The sequence below is a fragment of the Homo sapiens genome, chromosome 6, assembly GCF_000001405.40.
Source record: "Homo sapiens chromosome 6, GRCh38.p14 Primary Assembly".
Classification (NCBI taxonomy): domain Eukaryota; kingdom Metazoa; phylum Chordata; class Mammalia; order Primates; family Hominidae; genus Homo; species Homo sapiens.
In genome coordinates, this window is record NC_000006.12 from 73,242,955 (window position 1) to 73,260,963 (window position 18,009).

The 18,009-nt window shown below is 40.8% G+C and overlaps 1 protein-coding gene and 1 long non-coding RNA gene across 6 annotated transcripts in view; both read right to left on the reverse strand.

Annotated features, from left to right (window-relative positions):
• Positions 1–18,009, reverse strand: part of LOC122539213 (KHDC1-KHDC1L) — an 86,616-nt gene that overhangs the window by 19,411 nt on the left and 49,196 nt on the right. The window lies entirely within an intron of this gene.
• The window catches only part of KHDC1 (KH domain containing 1), a 69,065-nt gene that overhangs the window by 1,641 nt on the left and 49,415 nt on the right, over positions 1–18,009 (reverse strand). The gene's annotated exons all lie outside the window — the stretch shown is intronic.

The window sequence follows — 18,009 nt, forward strand, 5'->3', positions numbered from 1 at the left end:
TTGGTGTGCTGCATCAAGGGAGAGCAAACAACACGGGAAAATACACTTTACACAAACAGAAGAATGTTGTAGGGAGCCAATCGTAGGAGTTGACTGGGTGAGTCTAAGGAGTGTTTAGGGTGTAGCGGCCAGTTTTCTAAAATGGGGCAATTTGGTGATTATCCTGGTAAATTTATCTAGGAAGGGAAGTAAAGAGATTAATGTGGTCTTCATTGTGGAATGTTCTCTCTCTCTGGTTTCAAATATAGTTACAGATGGACTTTTTACACCTTGTTGCATGACAATCACTGAGCAACCTTGACTGGTTAAAATATTTAGCAGGAGATGTTTATGTTTGGTAGGGAAGATTCAACTATGCCTGTCAGCTCCCAACTGTGAGTTCCTAGGTGCTTTTTCACTCTTCAGCCTCAACTTTTGACCAAAGACAAAGTCAGCCATCAGGAATTTCATCTGTGGGGTTCAGATCTACACCATTGTCAGAATCCACTTGTCACAAGTTTATCGGGAGAACCTTCTCTACATCTGCATACAGTTGATCTCTCATGTACATTTTCTTGCAAAATACACACAGTGAATATATAATGACTCTACAGTAGCATTTAAGGCTGAACAAGATGTACTAGTCAAATTCAGGTAAGTCCTGGAAACAAAATAGTTATTAATCCTAGCAACAGGTTGCAAAGACAAAGAACTAGATTTCAAAACCAGGCCATGAAATCATGCCCCAACTCTATCTGAATCTGTTCTAGAGAGACAGGTAGTCTTTTAACCTTGCCACAAAACTGTTCTGCCTGAGCAGTAATGTTTTAGCGAGGTGCTGCAAACAGTGTTTGCTATCAAATAAAAGCTGTCCTTGGCTGGCGAAGAAGAAACCAAAAACTATGAAACCATTCATACACCATGAAACTTTAATTTAAGCTAGGTTGCTGGACCTCCAGAAAAGAAATAGTGTCATCTATTGATTTCTGCTAAGACCAGAGACAAATTTTGGACCGCCTTTTCTAGTAGAAAAGTCATATTATTCCTATTACTGGAATTGGAGCTCCCAGAGTATAGATGAAGAGGGAGTCAGTCATCTCTCCTGGAAGGTCTCCTGAATAGTCCATACTTGCCTCATTTTAGGTGTCTGAGTACCTTTCTCAGAAAAACATCATTTCCTATAGAAGTAGATGTTTAAAATATTGAAAAATATTATTAATAAAATAGTTTAAAACTCACTCCATATTACGCTAGATAAGTTTGTATAATGATCAGGTGACCTGATAGCCACATAAAAAGTAGTGCCTTAGTTTCGCACAAACTGAAAGGGGTATGGGGTGTATAAGTGTCATTTACCACAGTGAGAGCAGGAAAATTAATTCTTCAACATGTGAACATTGCTTGAGTGAAGGCTGGGGAGTTACTGAAGATTAAGGACTAACACTGCAAGGAGAGATTCATACATTAATGCAATAATGTCAGCAGACATACTTTGTTGTTTGAGGTCAGTGTTCAATATTGATAAAACTGAAGGTAAAAATTAATACTGTCAGGAAAATTCAAATTCCAGAAGAAACCTGTAGAAGAAAATCTGCCTTTTGAAGTGTTGAATAGCTATTAAATTTTTGTTAGTGGAATCAGGTAGAGGATAAAAACTGCATTAGTCAGTTAGATTTAAAACAATGAATCGGGGAGTGGTGACTCATGCCTGTAATCCCAGCACTTTGGGAGGCCAAGGCAGGGGGTTTGGGGGAGGTGGGCGGGGGGGCGGGGGGGGGCTCCGTAAGCCAAGATTTTGAGACCAGACCAGGCAATAAAGGAAGACTTCATCTTTACTAAAAACTAAAAAAATAGTCAGGTGAGGTGGTGCGCACCTGCAGTCCCAGCTATTCGGGAGGCTGAGGTGGGAAAATTGCTTGAGCACAGGAGTCTAAGCCTGCAGTGAGCTAGTATCACAGCACTACAGCCTGGGCAACAGAGCAAGACCCTGTCTCTTAAAATATGATAAAAATTTAAAAACAATAGCTATAGTCTGCGAAAAAAGCACAAGAAAGTTTTGCCTTTCCTTAGGTGGCACGGAAATTCTGTACTACAGAAGATTAAGATAAAATATAATTTGTGAAATAATCTTAAAACTTTTGGTTGGCCTCTAGGGGACAATGAGGTACTTTGATAATGAGAGCAAAATTTTTAAAGGAGGGCAAAGATACCAGAACATGTATCTTGTTTTATTGTCTCGGGTGAAGTATCTACTTGGTGTCAGCAGCTTGAACTGAAGATGTTGGTTTGATCGTCTTCTTCTAAAGATCATTGTTCTGGAAGATACTTAAGAATCCTCAGTTTATGATTCCTCAGTGAATTCCTTTCCATTGAGGACAAGGGTAGTTTTTCCTTTGATTTTTAGAAGTCTTTTCCAAAAGACTAAATCTTCAGATTTCTAGTCATGCAGAGACTAATTAGATGGATATTTGGGGAAGATTGTTGTTACCTATTAAAAGCTAGATGCATCAAATGAATCCTTTGTAGTATTTAGAAACATGAGCTTGTGATATGGCAGAGTACAGGTTCAGGAAGTGAATTCCTAACTGCATGGAGTAGCCTATGAATCCCAGGAGGAGTTGCTATTGCCATCAAGGCTAATTAGAAATTCCCAAGACATGGAAGTTCAAGTCTTGGAGAGCGTTCTCAAATTTAGTGTTAGAATTCATTTTTTTCCTTCTAATTGTTCTAAATATTCATTTGGTACAGCAAGTGTGTTTATTATTGTTAAAAGGCATTTTGGAGCTGTTTTTTTAATAACAGTCACGGGAAATGTGTGCCAGACACACCCCCCACCACCCAATCACTGAAGAATACGTTGGAATTCCTTAAGTCCAGAATAACAGTCGGGCAATTTTATCAGCAAAACCTTCGCTGTCTATCAGGAATATCCTCAATCCATTCTCGAGATAAGCAGACAATGGCTAGAACGTATTTACAAACCATCAGTATGGCAACTGCTTTGGTTAATGCTACTTGTTTAGCATAGTGGTAAATTATTTCCTCAGGATTCCGGGTTATTGGACTTTGAATGAATCTCCATTTTATTATGTGGCTACCCCCTTGGGTAATAGCAAAGCTTCTAAAAGTTTTTTAATTTCTTGCCATTTTTAACAAGACTTTCACAAGAGGTCAGAAAAACCTCTTAATTTCCAAAGTTCTCTGATATGGAGCAACTCATCACATATCTACTGCCTATATAAATATTTGTTTGTTTGTTTGTTTTAAGCAGGCGCCTCCACCACTCAGAAATATTACCTCTTTTAATCTCTCCTTCACTGAATGAAGGAGAACTATTCAGCCACTTGAGCTGATTTAACTTCTGGGAGAAGGTCATACACTAACAGTAAATTTAGAATTGTGATAGCATAGACTACTTGAAAAATTCTAGTTTACATTTTTAAACATTAATCATTAACAAGAAACATTAATATTTTAAAAAGAACTTTCCAAAATATCTGTAAAACGCATGGACAGTTCCCTAAAACAGGTCAAATGATCACGAACACTCCCTTCTCAAGTAAGAGAAGGAGAGTTGTCACGAGAATTAAGGAGGGCACTGACAAATCCCCAGGGACTTTACCCCATTAAAGTATATTATGAAAGTCACCAATTGATAAATGACAAAGACATTTTCTTCTTTGTAATCGAGGTCTTAACAGTTATATGCCAGTCTATAAAATAAACAAGAAGATTTTTTAACTTTAGAAGTACACATCATTTTATTACAAATAACCTAAAAAAATTTTTTTTCTTTTGACTTGTCAGTTTTTTATGTTATTCTCAGCTTGGTAACCAAACAAATACTCATAATGTGTTTGAGTCACTCAAAATTTGCAGAACATCAAGCAAACCTGAATATTCCTTTTTATATATAAATTAGAAGAGCAAACATTTTTATTAACAGTGGTCATTCCAAGAAACCAAAATAAACGGCATCCTAATAGTTTGATTATTTTGCACATTGGGCTTGAATTTTAGAAAAAAAAAAATAAGTCAACTTTTTTTTTTCTGTTTTTTTTGAGACAGAGTTTTGCTATTGTTGCCCAGGCTGGAGTGCAATGGCATGATCTCGGCTCACTGTACCCTCTGCCTCCTGGGTTCAAGCAATTCTCCTGCCTCAGCCTCCTGATTAGCTGGGATTACAGGCATGAACCACCATGCCCAGCTAATTTTTGTATTTTTAGTAGAGACGGGGTTTCACCATGTCGGCCAGGCTGGTCTCGAACTCCTGACCTCAAGTGATCACCCACCTCAGCCTCCCAAAGTGCTGAGATTACAGGTATGAGCCAACACGCCCAGCCCAACATGTTTTAGAATAGAGTAGTAGTGGTTGAAATGTATTGGGATGTATTTTGAAGACAGAGCCCTCAGGACTTTCTGATTTCAAGATTTGGGGCAAGTAGCTCCAAAATAAAATGTTTTTAAAAATTTGATTCCATACTTCCCCCAGTGCCTTTCCACCTCTTCCTCCTGCAGCTGTGGCAGCAGCACAGCAGTTACCCCAACCTGAGGCTGCTCCCTGGGTAATACCCATAGGCCTCCTCAGCTGAGCCCCTTTCTGTGCCCCACAGACATCCATTTGAAACAATCAAGTGGACGGCCGGGCACTGTGGCTCACGCCTGTAATCCCAGCACTTTGGGAGGCTGAGGCAGGCAGATCACCTGAGGTCAGGAGTTCATAGACCAGCCTAGCCAGCATGGTGAAACCCCGTCTCTACTAAAAATACAAAAATTAGCCGGGCATAGTGGCACGCATCTGTAATCTCAGCTACTCGGGAGGCTGAGGTAGGAGAATGGCTTGACCTGGGAGGCAGAGGTTGCAGTGAGTGGACATTGCACCACTGCACTCCAGCTTGGGAAATAGAGCAAGACTCTGTCTCAAAAAAAAAAAAAAAAAAAGAGAGAGAGAATCAAGTGGAAGTGGTAGCCCCTTGCAAGAAGGAGATTCAGTCACACTTGCTGCTTCCCTCAGTCAAAAAGCAGGGTGCAGCAAGCTAGGACCACCAGGTGGCCCTGGGAAAACACTAACACCCACTCACACCTTTCCTGTTGCAGGCTGTTTCCCCCAGAGTGGAGAGAAATGTGAATGCCTCCAACAAGTCTGTTCAGGGACAGCAGTGGAGTCCCAGACCTGGCATCAGGTCCTGGTCCTCCCTCCAGGTAAGGCATCGAGACTGGCTATATTGGGTTTTGCTAGTGGGAGACAGACCTGAGGAGGGAGCCTGGGTGGACTATTGTGAGAAATATGAGACCACATGTGCATCTCCTGGAAAATCATTTTGCACAGTCCTGAGATTGAGAGCGTGGAGCATCCCCCTTCCTGCTCCCTCTTCCCTTCCCCTCTCTCCTCTGTCTTCTACTTTAATCCGATGTTCCACTTCTCTCTCTGTCTCTCTCTCTCTCTCTCTCCTCTATCTGTCTCTCTCTCCTCTCTCTTCTCTCTCATCTTCCCTTCTTCCCCCTCCTTCCTCTCTCCCTCCTGGTTTTCTTTCCCTTGTTAGAGAAGACTGCCTTTTCTCAGAGGAAAGACTTAGGGTGAAGTAAACAGAAAGATTTCTTTTTGCCCAGAGGGAAAAATAAGATAGAATATACAATCTGAGAAAATTAGAGTACAGAATGCAATTAAACAGAAAAGAGGGAGTTAACAAGATATCCCAGCCCCTTGGTCAGTGAGGCGAAGCATCAGGTGCAACTTAATCTCCCTCTTCCAAGAGGCTACCTCTTCCACTTGATTCTTTCGAATGAACAAATATTAACCAACAATCCAATCCACTTTCAATTGCTTAATTACTGTTCCTTTTAAGTGCCAACCATCTGACTTTTCCTGTTTCCATCTGTCCTGTGGAGCTATTTGGTATTGCGTATCAGTGTTAATGTCTGAACTTCAAGGGATTTTTTGAAGAAAAAAAATTACAAATAAATTATTACATTCCTGAGGTTTTCTAGTATGGCCTTTATGTTGGGAGTCAAAAAAAAAAAAAAGAAAGAAAGAAAAGGTAAAGTTTCAGAACATTTATAAGTGACACCAGTGTTAACAGGACACTTGGATTTCTACTGAGAAAGCTAATCTTCTAGTTAGCTTTGTGTACATGTTGATAATCACTTTCTCAATTATTAACCCTTGAGTGAAATAAAGAAACCATTTAACTTTTGTGTTAAAGCTTAAAAAATAAAAAAATCCAGCTCACCAGTGTGGTGGCTAACAGGAAGCTGAGGCAGGAGGATTGCTTGAACCCAGGAGTTCAAGGTGTGCTATGATCATGCCATTGCACTCCAGCCGAGGCGACAGAGTGAAACCCAGTCTCTTGAAAAAAAAAATTATATTCAACATTGAAAAAGTATCTCTGAAAAACAACAAAGTACTTATGTACTGGGTAGGGGTGGCTGCCAGCTAGGGCCAGCTGGTGCCGCTGGAAAAATTATTCATGCATAATTATGAAAATAATATTATCCAAAGTACCACATAGGACCACAAATACAGAGTCAGAGATAGTGTGCAGTGAGTTGTCTAATGCTAGTTATGCACAATCTTGGTAACCTCATATTTTAGAGCAATAAAAAAGGCAAGGTTTGCAAGTGTAACACATGGAGTAAGTAATCATCTTTATTTCGTATATTCATGGGAAGCGCACACACACAGGAAGGAGAGGAGCCCTGGTGCTCTTAGCTTTGCCTGTCTCTGCTGGATGTGGACTCACAGAAAGACGGACACATCTGAAACCAAAAGTGTGAATAACTTTCTGATGGTAGAGGGGTTTTTATTTTTGTTTTTATTATTTTGTTTTGTTTTTAGAAACAGGGTCTTGCCCTATTACCCAGTCCAGAGAGTAGTGTCGTGATCATAGCTCACTGCAGTCTCAAACTCCTGGGCTCAAGTGATCCTCCCGACTCAGCCTCCCAAAGCACTGGCATTACAGGCATGAGACACTGCACCCAGCCTGATGGTAGAGTACTTAAAAAGCAGGAATATGTTAACAAATATGCACTCAAATAAAATATAGTTTCTCTTGCATCCTACATGAGTTTCTCAAGATTCCTTATACTTGAACAAATGATAATCTATGAGAAATTGACAGCTTCAAATGTATGGGTTTCATTTAGCATGGCTTCTCATGTTCCCAGGTCACAAATCCATGTCTTATTCAGTGGCTCTATCACTCTGTCAATCTCTGGCTCACAGTTGCAGTTTTTCAACTCACAGATGATGTCAAAATATAGAAAAATAGAACCCTGTTTAGTGCTGATGGACACTAACTCCTAACATCAATTTAATTCCAGGTGATTAGTTTAAACTAATCATGATAATCTAATTCCCCTGCCAGTGATTGCTTTAGGAAATGGCACATGTCCCAGTTTTGAAATGAAGCAAAACCTAAAGGAGGCTTCCAGCAGAGGTTGTCTCATTTCTGAAGAGAGACACAAAAAAGAACTTGTCTATTCTTACCTTCTCACAGTGTTTATAGCAGGATATGATTTTGGAAATAGCTACAAGTATTTTGCTACCAACCTGAAGAGGAAGCCAACACAAGGTGGAAAGGGAGGCAAACCAAGAAACTGAATTTGAGCCCTTGGCATAATATGCCTGGAATGCCTGCTATTGGCAATAATACAGTGCTTTATTAGCATCCAACTGGACCAGTGTTTCCTGTTATTTGCTGTTCAAATCATGCTACATGATTCTGGTCCCTTTTACATACTACTCTCATTTTGATTGATTGCGCTCAGCAGTGTTCCACTCTCCAAGGAGGGACAATGAACTGTAGGTAGCAATGTTTTATCACATAAAACCTGAAGAGTGAAAAGCACAAAGTTTATCTTGATTATTTTCATTCATAAGCACTTTCCAAGTTACAGAATATTAAGCATCAAATAATTTTTTTTTGAAATCGAGTCTCGCTCTGTTGCCCAGGCTGCAGTGCAGTGGTGCAATCTTGGCTCACTGCAACCTCCACCTCCCGGGTTCAAGGAATTCTCCTGCCTCAGCCTCCCGAGTAGCTGGGATTACAGGTATGCTAATTTTTGTATTTTTAGTAGAGACAGGTTTTGCTATGTTGGCCAGGCTGCTATCGTCAAACTCCTGACCTCAAGCGATCTGCCCGCCTCGGCCTCCCAAAGTTCTGGGATTATAGGCTGAGCCACTGTGCCCAGCCTAGCACCAAATAATTTATAATCAAAATGTATATGCAATAGTTCTGGCCTTATTGAATACCAAAAAATCCTTACCACTTTATCATGTAGCGAAAAATAAATAAATAATGAGAGAAAAAGTCATATTTATACATTAAAAATCAAAGTCCTTCAGTTGGAATTCTCTTACTGTGTATCTCACTGGACAGAAATCCTATTAATACAACTAGTATGAGAAAGTCTGCAGTGATATTTCTATCAAACCTGAGAAAATACACTGGGAATAGGTCCAATATATGTAATAAAAGTCAAAAAATTATTCTCAAGGACACTAGACTTAATGTTGAATCAGGGAACCTATAGCGAACAAAAATACTATAGAAAGCCAATCACTGGCCCTCTAACCTAAACATGTACCAGAAAAATATTGACATCTAATGCATAAAAAGTTTCAGTCCCATCTTAATTTTTAAGTATCACTGTCTGTATACTGGAAAATATAAACATAAAAAGAAATGTTTCAATGTCTTCTATTTTGGACATAAGGAAACTCACATTTCAATGAATTGCAACTGTACTAAAACCATAGATTCAGCCATTTTGAACTCAAGGAAGTACACAGTTTGATGACAAAAATAATTTAAATTAAATCATATCCTTTTTAAAAAATTCTTTTTTTTCCTTTTCTTTTCTTTTCTTTTTTTTTTTTTAATGAGACAGGGTGTCGTTTTGTCCTCCATGCTGGAGTACAGTAGCAAGATCACAGCTAACTGCACCCTCAGCCTCCCGGGCTCATTCGATCCTCCCATTTCAGCCTCCTGAGTAGCCCAGGCTGATCTTGAACTCCTGGGGTCAAGCAATTGGCCCATATCAGCCTCCCAGAGTAGAGGGGTTATAGGCGTGAGCCACAGGGCCCAGGCCTTGGCCTAAATCATATCTTTTTTTTTTTTTTTTTTCTGAAACACGGTCTCACCCTGTCACCCAAGCTGGAGTGCAGTGGTGCAATCAGGGCTCACTGCAACCTCTACCTCCCAGGCTCAAACAATTCCCATGCCTCAGCTTCCTGAGCAGCAGGGACTACAGGCCTGAGCCACCATACCCAGCTAATTTTCATATTTTTTGTAGAGATGGGGGTCTCCCTATGTTGCCCAGGCTGGTCTCTAACTTGTGGGCTCAAGCAATCTGCCCTCGTCGACCTCCCAAACTGGAGGGATTACAGGTGTGAGCCACTGTGCCTGGCCCTAAATCACATCCTAATAATAATTTCATTGAAAATTTTTTTATAGATATCACAATGTATTTAGAATAAATTAGCTCTTCTAGTAATTTAGAGCAATTGTCAGACAAACATTTTCTATAAAGGGCCGGACAGTAAATATTTTATACTCTGTGGCATGAAGTCTGTGTCAAAACTAGCCTCACTCAGGCTGGGTTCAATGGCTCACATCTGTAATCCCAGCACTTTGGGAGGCCAAGGCAGGCGGATCACTTTGAGCTCAGGAGTTGGAAACCAGCCTGGGCAACATGGCAAAACCCCATTTCTTCAAAAGATAAAAAAAAAAAAATTAGCTAACCATGGTGGCTCACGCCTGTAGTCCCAGCTACTCAGGAGGCTGAGGCTGGAGAATGGCTTGAGTCTGGTAAACGAAGGTTGCAGTGAGCTGAGATCGTGCCACTGAACTGCTGCCTGGGCAACAGAGTGAGACTCTACCTCAAAAAAAAAAAAAAATTATCCACTCATCAAATGCAGTGCAAAAGGGGTCAGAGGCAATACATAAATGATGGGTACTGCTCTGTCCCAATAAAACTTTATTTATAAACACATATTGAATTTTATATAATTTTATGTCATAAAAGATCATCCTTTTGGTTTTTTAAACTATGTAAAAATTTTAAAATAATTCCTAAACTACAAGCTCTACAAAACACAGGCATGAAAAAGGCTTAGTCCTATCTATGTACTAAATAGTACAATACTTCAATAAATAAAAGGCTGCAGTTTTACTAATGCATGAAAAGACCAATCAGTGAAATAGAACAGAAAACCAAAAATACACCCACATATATGCATAGAAATTTAATATTTAATAAAGGGGACAATTCAGATTACTGTGGAAAAGGCGGATTACTCAATCAAGGATTGAATTATCATTGGAATAAACAGGTTAACCTGCCGGGTACGGTGGCTCACGCCTGTAATCCCAGCACTTTGGGAGGCCGAGGGGGGTGGATCACAAGGTCAGGAGATCAACCATCCCGGCTAATATGGTGAAACCCCGTCTCTACTAAAAACACAAAAAATTAGCCAGGTGTGGTGGCAGGCGCCTGTAGTACCAGCTACTCGGGAGGCTGAGGCAGGAGAATGGTGTGAACCCAGGAGGCAGAGCTTGCAGTGAGCCAAGATAGCACCACTGCAGTCCAGCCTGGGTGAAAGAGCGAGAGTCCGTCTCAAAAAAAAAAATAAATAAATAATAAAATAAAATAAACAGGTTAACCTATTAAAAATCCATTTGAGGCCAGGTGCACTAAGTCACACCTGTAATCCCAGCACTTTGGGAGGCCAAGGAGGGAGGATCACTTGAGCCAAGGAGCTTGAGATCAGCCTGGGCAAGATGGTGAGACCTTGTCTCCACAAAAATAAAAACAATTAAAAAATTGGCCAGGCATAGTGGTCCATGCCTGTAGTCCCAGCTGCTCAGGAGACTGAGGTGGGAAGATAACTGGAGCCCAGGAATTTGAGGCTGCTGTGAGCTATGATCATACACCGCACTCCAGCTTGGGTGGCAGAGTGAGGCTCTGTCTCCAACAACAACAGCAACAACAATAACAACAACAAAAAACAGTAAAATTAGACTTAAATATATGTAAAATAATAAAAATAATAAAAATTCACTTGAACTATACCTAACAACCTAAATCGAATCACACCTTAGGAACATCAAACATTTAAATGTAAAAAAGAAAACTCAAACCATACCACAGGAAACCATTAGCAAATATTTTATAGGCATGGACTAAGGAGGGCATTCGTAAGAATGAAACAAAATCCACAGATAATAAATATAAAAAGATTCAAGCTGGGCACAGTGGCTCATGCCTGTAATCCCAGCCCTTTGGGAGGCCGAGGCGGGTGGGATCACTTGATGTCAGGAGTTTAAGACCAGCCTGGCCAACATGGAGAAACCCCATCTCTACTAAAAATATAAAAATTAGCCAGGCGTGGTGGTGCGTGCCTGTTATCCCTGCTCCTCGGGAGGCTGAGGCAGGAGAATCGCTTGAGCCAGGGAGGCAGAGGTTGCAGTGAGCTGAGACTGGGCCACTGCACTCCAGCCTGGGCGACAGAATGAGACTCTGTCTTAAAATAAAAATAAATAAATAAATAAATAAATAAATAAATAAATAAATAAATAAAAGACTACGTAGCTATAAGAAATTACAAGAAAGTGTTTCTGCTCTAAAATGCAACCATCCACAAGATATATTGAGTTAAAAAATGGCAAGGTGCTAAAGAGTGTATTGTATGATGCTATCTATACAGAAAAAAGAAGAAAAGAAATTGTGTATGTGTATTTATCTGAGAACTAAGGATACACAATAAATTAGAAACAGGTTTCTTATGGCCAGGAGCGGTGGCTCATGCCTGTAATCCCGGCACTTTGGGAGGCCGAGGTGGGCGGATCACGAGGTCAGGAGATTGAGACCAGCCTGGCTAACACAGTGAAACCCCGTCTCTACTAAAAATACAAAAAATTAGCTGGGTACGGTGTCAGGCGCCTTTAGTCCTAGCTACTCGGGAGGCTGAGGCAGGAGAATGGCGTGGCCCCGGGAGGCAGAGTTTGCAGTGAGTGGAGATCGCGCCATTGCACTCCAGCTTGAGGAACAAGAGCAAGACTCCGTCTCAAAAAGAAAAAAAAAAAAGAAACAGGTTTCCTACAAGAAATGATACTGTATAGCTGACAGACAGGACTTGGAGAGTATCTTTTTCATTAAAGGCACTTTTTGAATTTTGAGCTCAATAAAGATATATATTCAAAAAACAAAATTTTAAATTCAAATGAAAATGACTTAGCTGAATTTTTTTCAATTATTGGTTTACTAAAAAAAAAATAAACTTTTTTTTTTTTTTTTTTTTGAGAAGGGGGTCTCTCGCTCTGTCACCCAGGCTGGAGTGCAGTAGTGAGACCTTGGCTCACTGCAGCCTCTGCCTCCTAGGTTCAAGCAATTCTCCCACCTCAGTCTCCCGAGTAGCTGGGACTATGGGGCACGCCACCACGCCCAGATAATTTTTGCATTTTTAATAGAGACAGGGTTTCACCACGTTGGCCAGGCTGGTCTTGAACTCCTGACCTCAGGTGATCCACCCGCCTTCTTGGCCTCCCAAAGTGCTGGGATTATAGGCATGAGCCACCACACCTGGCTTTTTTTTTTTTTTTCCAACCAGTTTCCTCAAGAAAATGCTTCAGACAAGCATCCTTCAGTGGGATCATTGCTTGCGGTCATTAGAAAGTGACAGGTCAGACCAGACATGGTGGCTCATGCCTGTAATCCCAGCACTTTGGGAGGCCGAGGTGGGCAGATCACCTGAGGTCGGGAGTTCAAGACCAGCCTGGCCAACACAGTGAAATCCCATCTCTACTAAAAATACAAAAATTAACTGGGCACGGTGGCGGGCACCTTTCATCCCAGCTACTCACGAGGCTGAGACTGGAGAATCGCTTGAACCTGGGAGGTGGAGGTTGCAGTGAGCTGAGATCACGCCACTGCACTCCAGCCTGGGTGACAGAGTGAGAACCTGTCTCAACAAAAAAAAAAAAAAAAAAAAGAGGTCAGACTCCTTAAATTACACTGAAGTTTATACAGACTTGCAGAGCCATGATTGTCGAGCCTGAAGTCTGAATGGAGTTAGAAATACTGTGGTACCTTAGACAATCATGAGATTCTTCCCTAGGAATGTTTTAGTAAAATCAAAGTGGATTACTTTCCAAAGGTCAGGCATATACATTTATCTCCTTAGGCCTAGTAATTTCGAATGTGCTTCACTCCTTTACAGGTCCTTTTTTATTCAATATTAGAATAAATTGCTAGCCATTAAAAAGACTTTCATTCATTTATTCAACAAATAATTACTTAGTGCCTACTATTCGGCAGGTGCTGTGCTAGGCCTCAGGGGCATTATAACATTGAACAATTCATTTCTAGAAAATAGCTTCATTGAACAACTGTTGAGTATATTATTTATAAACTTATAGAAAATATTATTCTCCCATTAAAAAATGGCCATTATGTGTAGACAATTTTTATTGGCAGTCTGTGAACAATCTGAACTCTTTCAACATTTGCTTTATAGACTCGCTCCAGGTTTAGACATAAGCCAGTCAGGGAGTCTGGCGTTACAAATGATATTTGGTCAAGAAAAAGCAGCAGGATAGAAACTTCTAACAACTATTAACAGCCAGTTTACCAATACGTAAGCATAATCTGCCAAACATAGCTGGTGTAACTGGTGACTTCACACTTTAGCACTGCACATTTTCTTCTCAGCCAAATATGTGACAATAATAACAACATGGTAGGAGAAAGGTGCCTGTTGTTATAAGACATTTCCACGTGTCTCATCTCATATAATCCACACTCCCGTTATCCCCATTTTGCTATCAGGAAACTGCTTTTAAGATAAGTTTCAATAGGTGTCTAACTAGTAAATGGAGTTTGAACTGGAACCCAACTCTCCTCATGCTAAGGTTTATATTCATTCTACTAACGCATGGGCTTAGTGTTTATAAAATAAAATGCTTTAAGTAAGTTATCTAGAGGTGCACCTGAGTTAACATAATTAAAATTACCAGCTGATCCTTACAAAAAATTTCCCAAAGAAGGTTCTGACTAATATATATTAAAAGGCATGGCCAGTGGGGCACGGTGGCTCAAACCTGTAATCCTAACACTTTGGGAGGCTGAGGCAGGCAGACAGCTTGAGCTCAAGAGTTTGAGACCAGCCTAGGCAACATGGCAAAACCCCATCTCTACAAAAAATACAAAAATTAGCTGGGCATGGTGGCATGCACTTATAGTCCCAGCTACTTGAGAGGCTGAGGTGGGAAGATTGCTTGAGCCCAGGAGGTCAAGGCTTCAGTGAGCTTTCATCATACCACTGCAATCCAGCCTGGGTGACAGGGTAGAGTTCGTCTCAAAAGAACAAAAACAAAAAGCAAGGCATGGCCTTCCTTAGGAATTTGGTTTGGGGATTCTCTAACAATAGCAACCAATTGAGGGTGTCTGGGCTCATGGTTGGGAATTTTTGTTTGTTTGTTTATTTGTTTTGAGACGAAGTCTCACTCTTTCGCCAGACTGGAGTACACGATCTCGGCTCACTGCAACCTCCGCCTCCCAGGTTCAAGAGATTCTCCTGCCTCAGCCTCCCGAGTAGCTGGGACTACAGGTGCACACTACCACACCCGGCTAATTTTTGTATTTTTAGTAGAGATAGGGTTTCACCATGTTGGCCAGGATGGTCTCAATCTCCTGACCTCGTGATCCACCTGCCTCGGCCTCCCAAAGTCCTGGGATTACAGGCGTGAGCCACCATGCCTGGCCCTTTTTGGTTCTTGATTATAATTCATCTTTAAATAGTTAAGAGCAACTTGTGCTGTTTGATATTCATGGCCAAGTAAAACTCTTTGACCCTCAGACAAACAGTATGATTTCATATATATGAAATATCTAGGCCAGGCATGGTAGCTCACACCTGTAATCCCAGCATGCTGGGAGGCCAAGACAAGAGAATTGCTTGAGGCCAGGAGTTCAAGATCAGGCTGGGCAACATAGTGATACTTCATCTCTACTAAAAATTTTTAAAATAAAAATAAATTGTGCCAGGCACAGTGGCTCACGCCTATAATCCCAGCACTTTGGGAGGCCCAAGGTGGGCGGATCACTTGAGCTCAGGAGTTCGAGACCAGCCTGGCCAACATGGTGAAACTCTGTCTCTACTAAAATACAAAAATTAGCTGGGCGTGGTGGTGCACACCTGTAATCCCAGCTACTCTGGAGGCTGAGGCAGGAGAATCACTTGAATCCGGGAGGTAGAGGTTGCAGTGAGCTGAGATCGTGCCACTGCACTCCAGCCTGGGCAAGAGAGCGAGACTCCGTCTCTAAATAAATAAATAAGTAAGTAAGTAAGTAGTAATTAAGCAAGCCAGGTGTGGTGGCACGCACCTATAGTATCAACTACTTGGGAGACTAAGGTGGAAGGATCACTTGAGCCTGGGAAGTTGAGGCTGCAGTGAGCCATGATTATGCCACTGCACTCCGGCCTAGGTGACAGAGAGAGACCCTGTCTCAAAAAAGAAAAAAAAAAGAAATATCTAGAATAAGCAAATATATCAGCAAAAGGTCTCCTACTACTGCTTGACCTACAAGAAAGAGTCAAATAAGTGTTAGCCCAGTTAAAGTGAACGTTGAGTCTCTGCATCACAGCTCATGCTGTTAGTAGGAAGGATGCATTTGACCATTCCACAAGATTAAAAGATTTCTTACTGAGAATCCAAGGGCCAAAGGCGGAAGGTGGAGGGAGTGATCAACTCTGAAACCTAGATTCAAAAAGCACTTCTGTGTGACCTCAGAAAAGGTATCTATCTCTCAGCATCAGTTTCCCTACCTGTAAAATGGTATTAATCATTCCTAATTCCCAGCAGTTGCTGGATCACATAAGTTAATGTGCCTGAGTGCAAGGCTGTGAGCCTTCTGCCTTTCCCTAAGACACAGGTGAGCTGCTCATCCAGCAGATGGAGACTGTCTGGAAGGGCCTATTGGGCTGCCTACTATGGTCTCAAGCTTTGAGTGGCTAGGGCTAGAGGCCTGACCCAACGGGAGCCCACTGGTGAGAGGAATGGCAGTAATTGCAAGGGCAGGGCTTGCAGGAAGAATTTTTAATAGAATCTGCTGCTCAGGAGCCTTACACAAATTCCCTGGGGCCTGCTTCTTCCTACTCACCACCAGGGCAATACTGGGACCAACATGCTCTTAAGGGAACCTGGTGGCTTAAGACAGAATATTTTGAGATTCAGATAGTGTTTTACTTTCCCGTGTGGCTATGAAAGTGATTCTAGAGTTGGCACTCAAGTCCAGGTCCCATCTTTCCTCATTTTGGAAGGCTTTCTGCTGACAAATCCAATATGCTTTTTTTTTTTTTTTTTTTTTTTTTGAGACGGAGTCTCGCTCTGTCGCCCAGGCTGGAGTGCAGTGGCTATTCATAGGTGCAGTTATAGTGCACTAGCCTGGAGTTCCTGGGCTCAAGCCATCCTCCTGCCCTAGCTTCCTGAATAACTAGGACTACAGCCATGCACTACCACACCTGGCTAAATCCAATTATTTTAAATTAGCTGGAAGAAGAAAGACATTGGGGTTCTTCTTACTTCTCCTTGAGAGGACCAGATTTGGTCCCCAATTTTTAGAACAAAAATATTCACATTGAGAAAGCCAAGGATAGATCGAAGGGAATGCAGAAGCAGTCACATACTAGTTACATGCAGCAAGAAAGTCATCCTTTAGATTTATAAACTCCTTGTCATGTTGTTTCCTCTCCTGGCCCCTTCTCCACACTTTTAAACAAGCATGTTGTGGTCTCAGTTGAGAGCTTGACAAGGTTTTTGCTATGGTTGAGACATCAATCTCTTTTGTAATTGAATCTATTCACCAGGGAGAGTGTGAGCAAACCATGTTCAAGCTCTTTGTCTTTGTCCTAACTAGGCATTTACCATATAAACATAATAAGAAACAAGCCCCTGCAAGTCTTTCTTTTTAACCAATTATCTGGCTGTTTCTCTTGCTGTAGTCCTGCCTTCATTAAAAGCTGTCCAGGGGGTAGGGCACAATCTTTGGAAGCATATCTAAGATGCCAATTTCTTTGCATTTCAGTGAAAAGTAAGTCATCAGGGTATTTGGGACATCTCTTCAAGCTTTTCTTGATGGTCTATATCAGCATAGCCCCCTCCTTTCCAGCTTTCCTCATTCCTACTTTAGAGTCCGCTATTGTGCCTTTATGCCTTCAAATTGGGGTATACCCATATATCCATATAAAAAACATTTTTCTTTCTGTAATCATTACAGGGGAGTCCAGTGTGATTTACAGAACAAATTGAAATCATTCTATCAAGATGTAAAAAAAATTAAGGGGAAGGCTCTGGGCTGGGGAATGTTAATTAGCCCCTAACCCACCCTATCATCTTTCTCTAGTTCACAAAGATAACTGTCAATTTATCCTCAATGTCCAGAATAATGCCTTATACCTAGTAAGCAATCAACAAATATTTGTTTAGAGAATGAGTAAACTATTACCATAGTTTATTTACCTGCTGAAATTATATTTTTCTAATTTTAAACTATTATGCAAAAAAAGTTTCCAGTTAAATATTTTGCATACCTCTTTTTGAACACCTGTTTATCTGTAGAATAAAAAAGTTAAATTAGAATGTCTGAAGCAATGTTCTTCAGTATAATCAATATTACTTCAAAGATTAATTTTAATATTTTAACTTCAATTAATACTGCCAAATCTACCCCCACCCCTAGCAGTGGCTATCCTGATTTATACTTCTACTAAGAATATTCACTTTTCCACAAAATTGATATTTTCAAATTTCAGTTTTAGCCAGTGTGGGAGAAAATGGATCTCTCTATTTTTTTGCTTTGCATGCCAGCATCACTAGTGCAGTTAAGCATCTTTTTTATGTGGTCAGTTTTATTTCATTCTTACTTCTTCATCTATTGTCTATTTATACATTTGCCCATTTCTCTGTAGGGTTGTCTTTTTCTTATATATATTTGTTTTCACTATCTATTCCAGATGTTAATTCTTTGTGC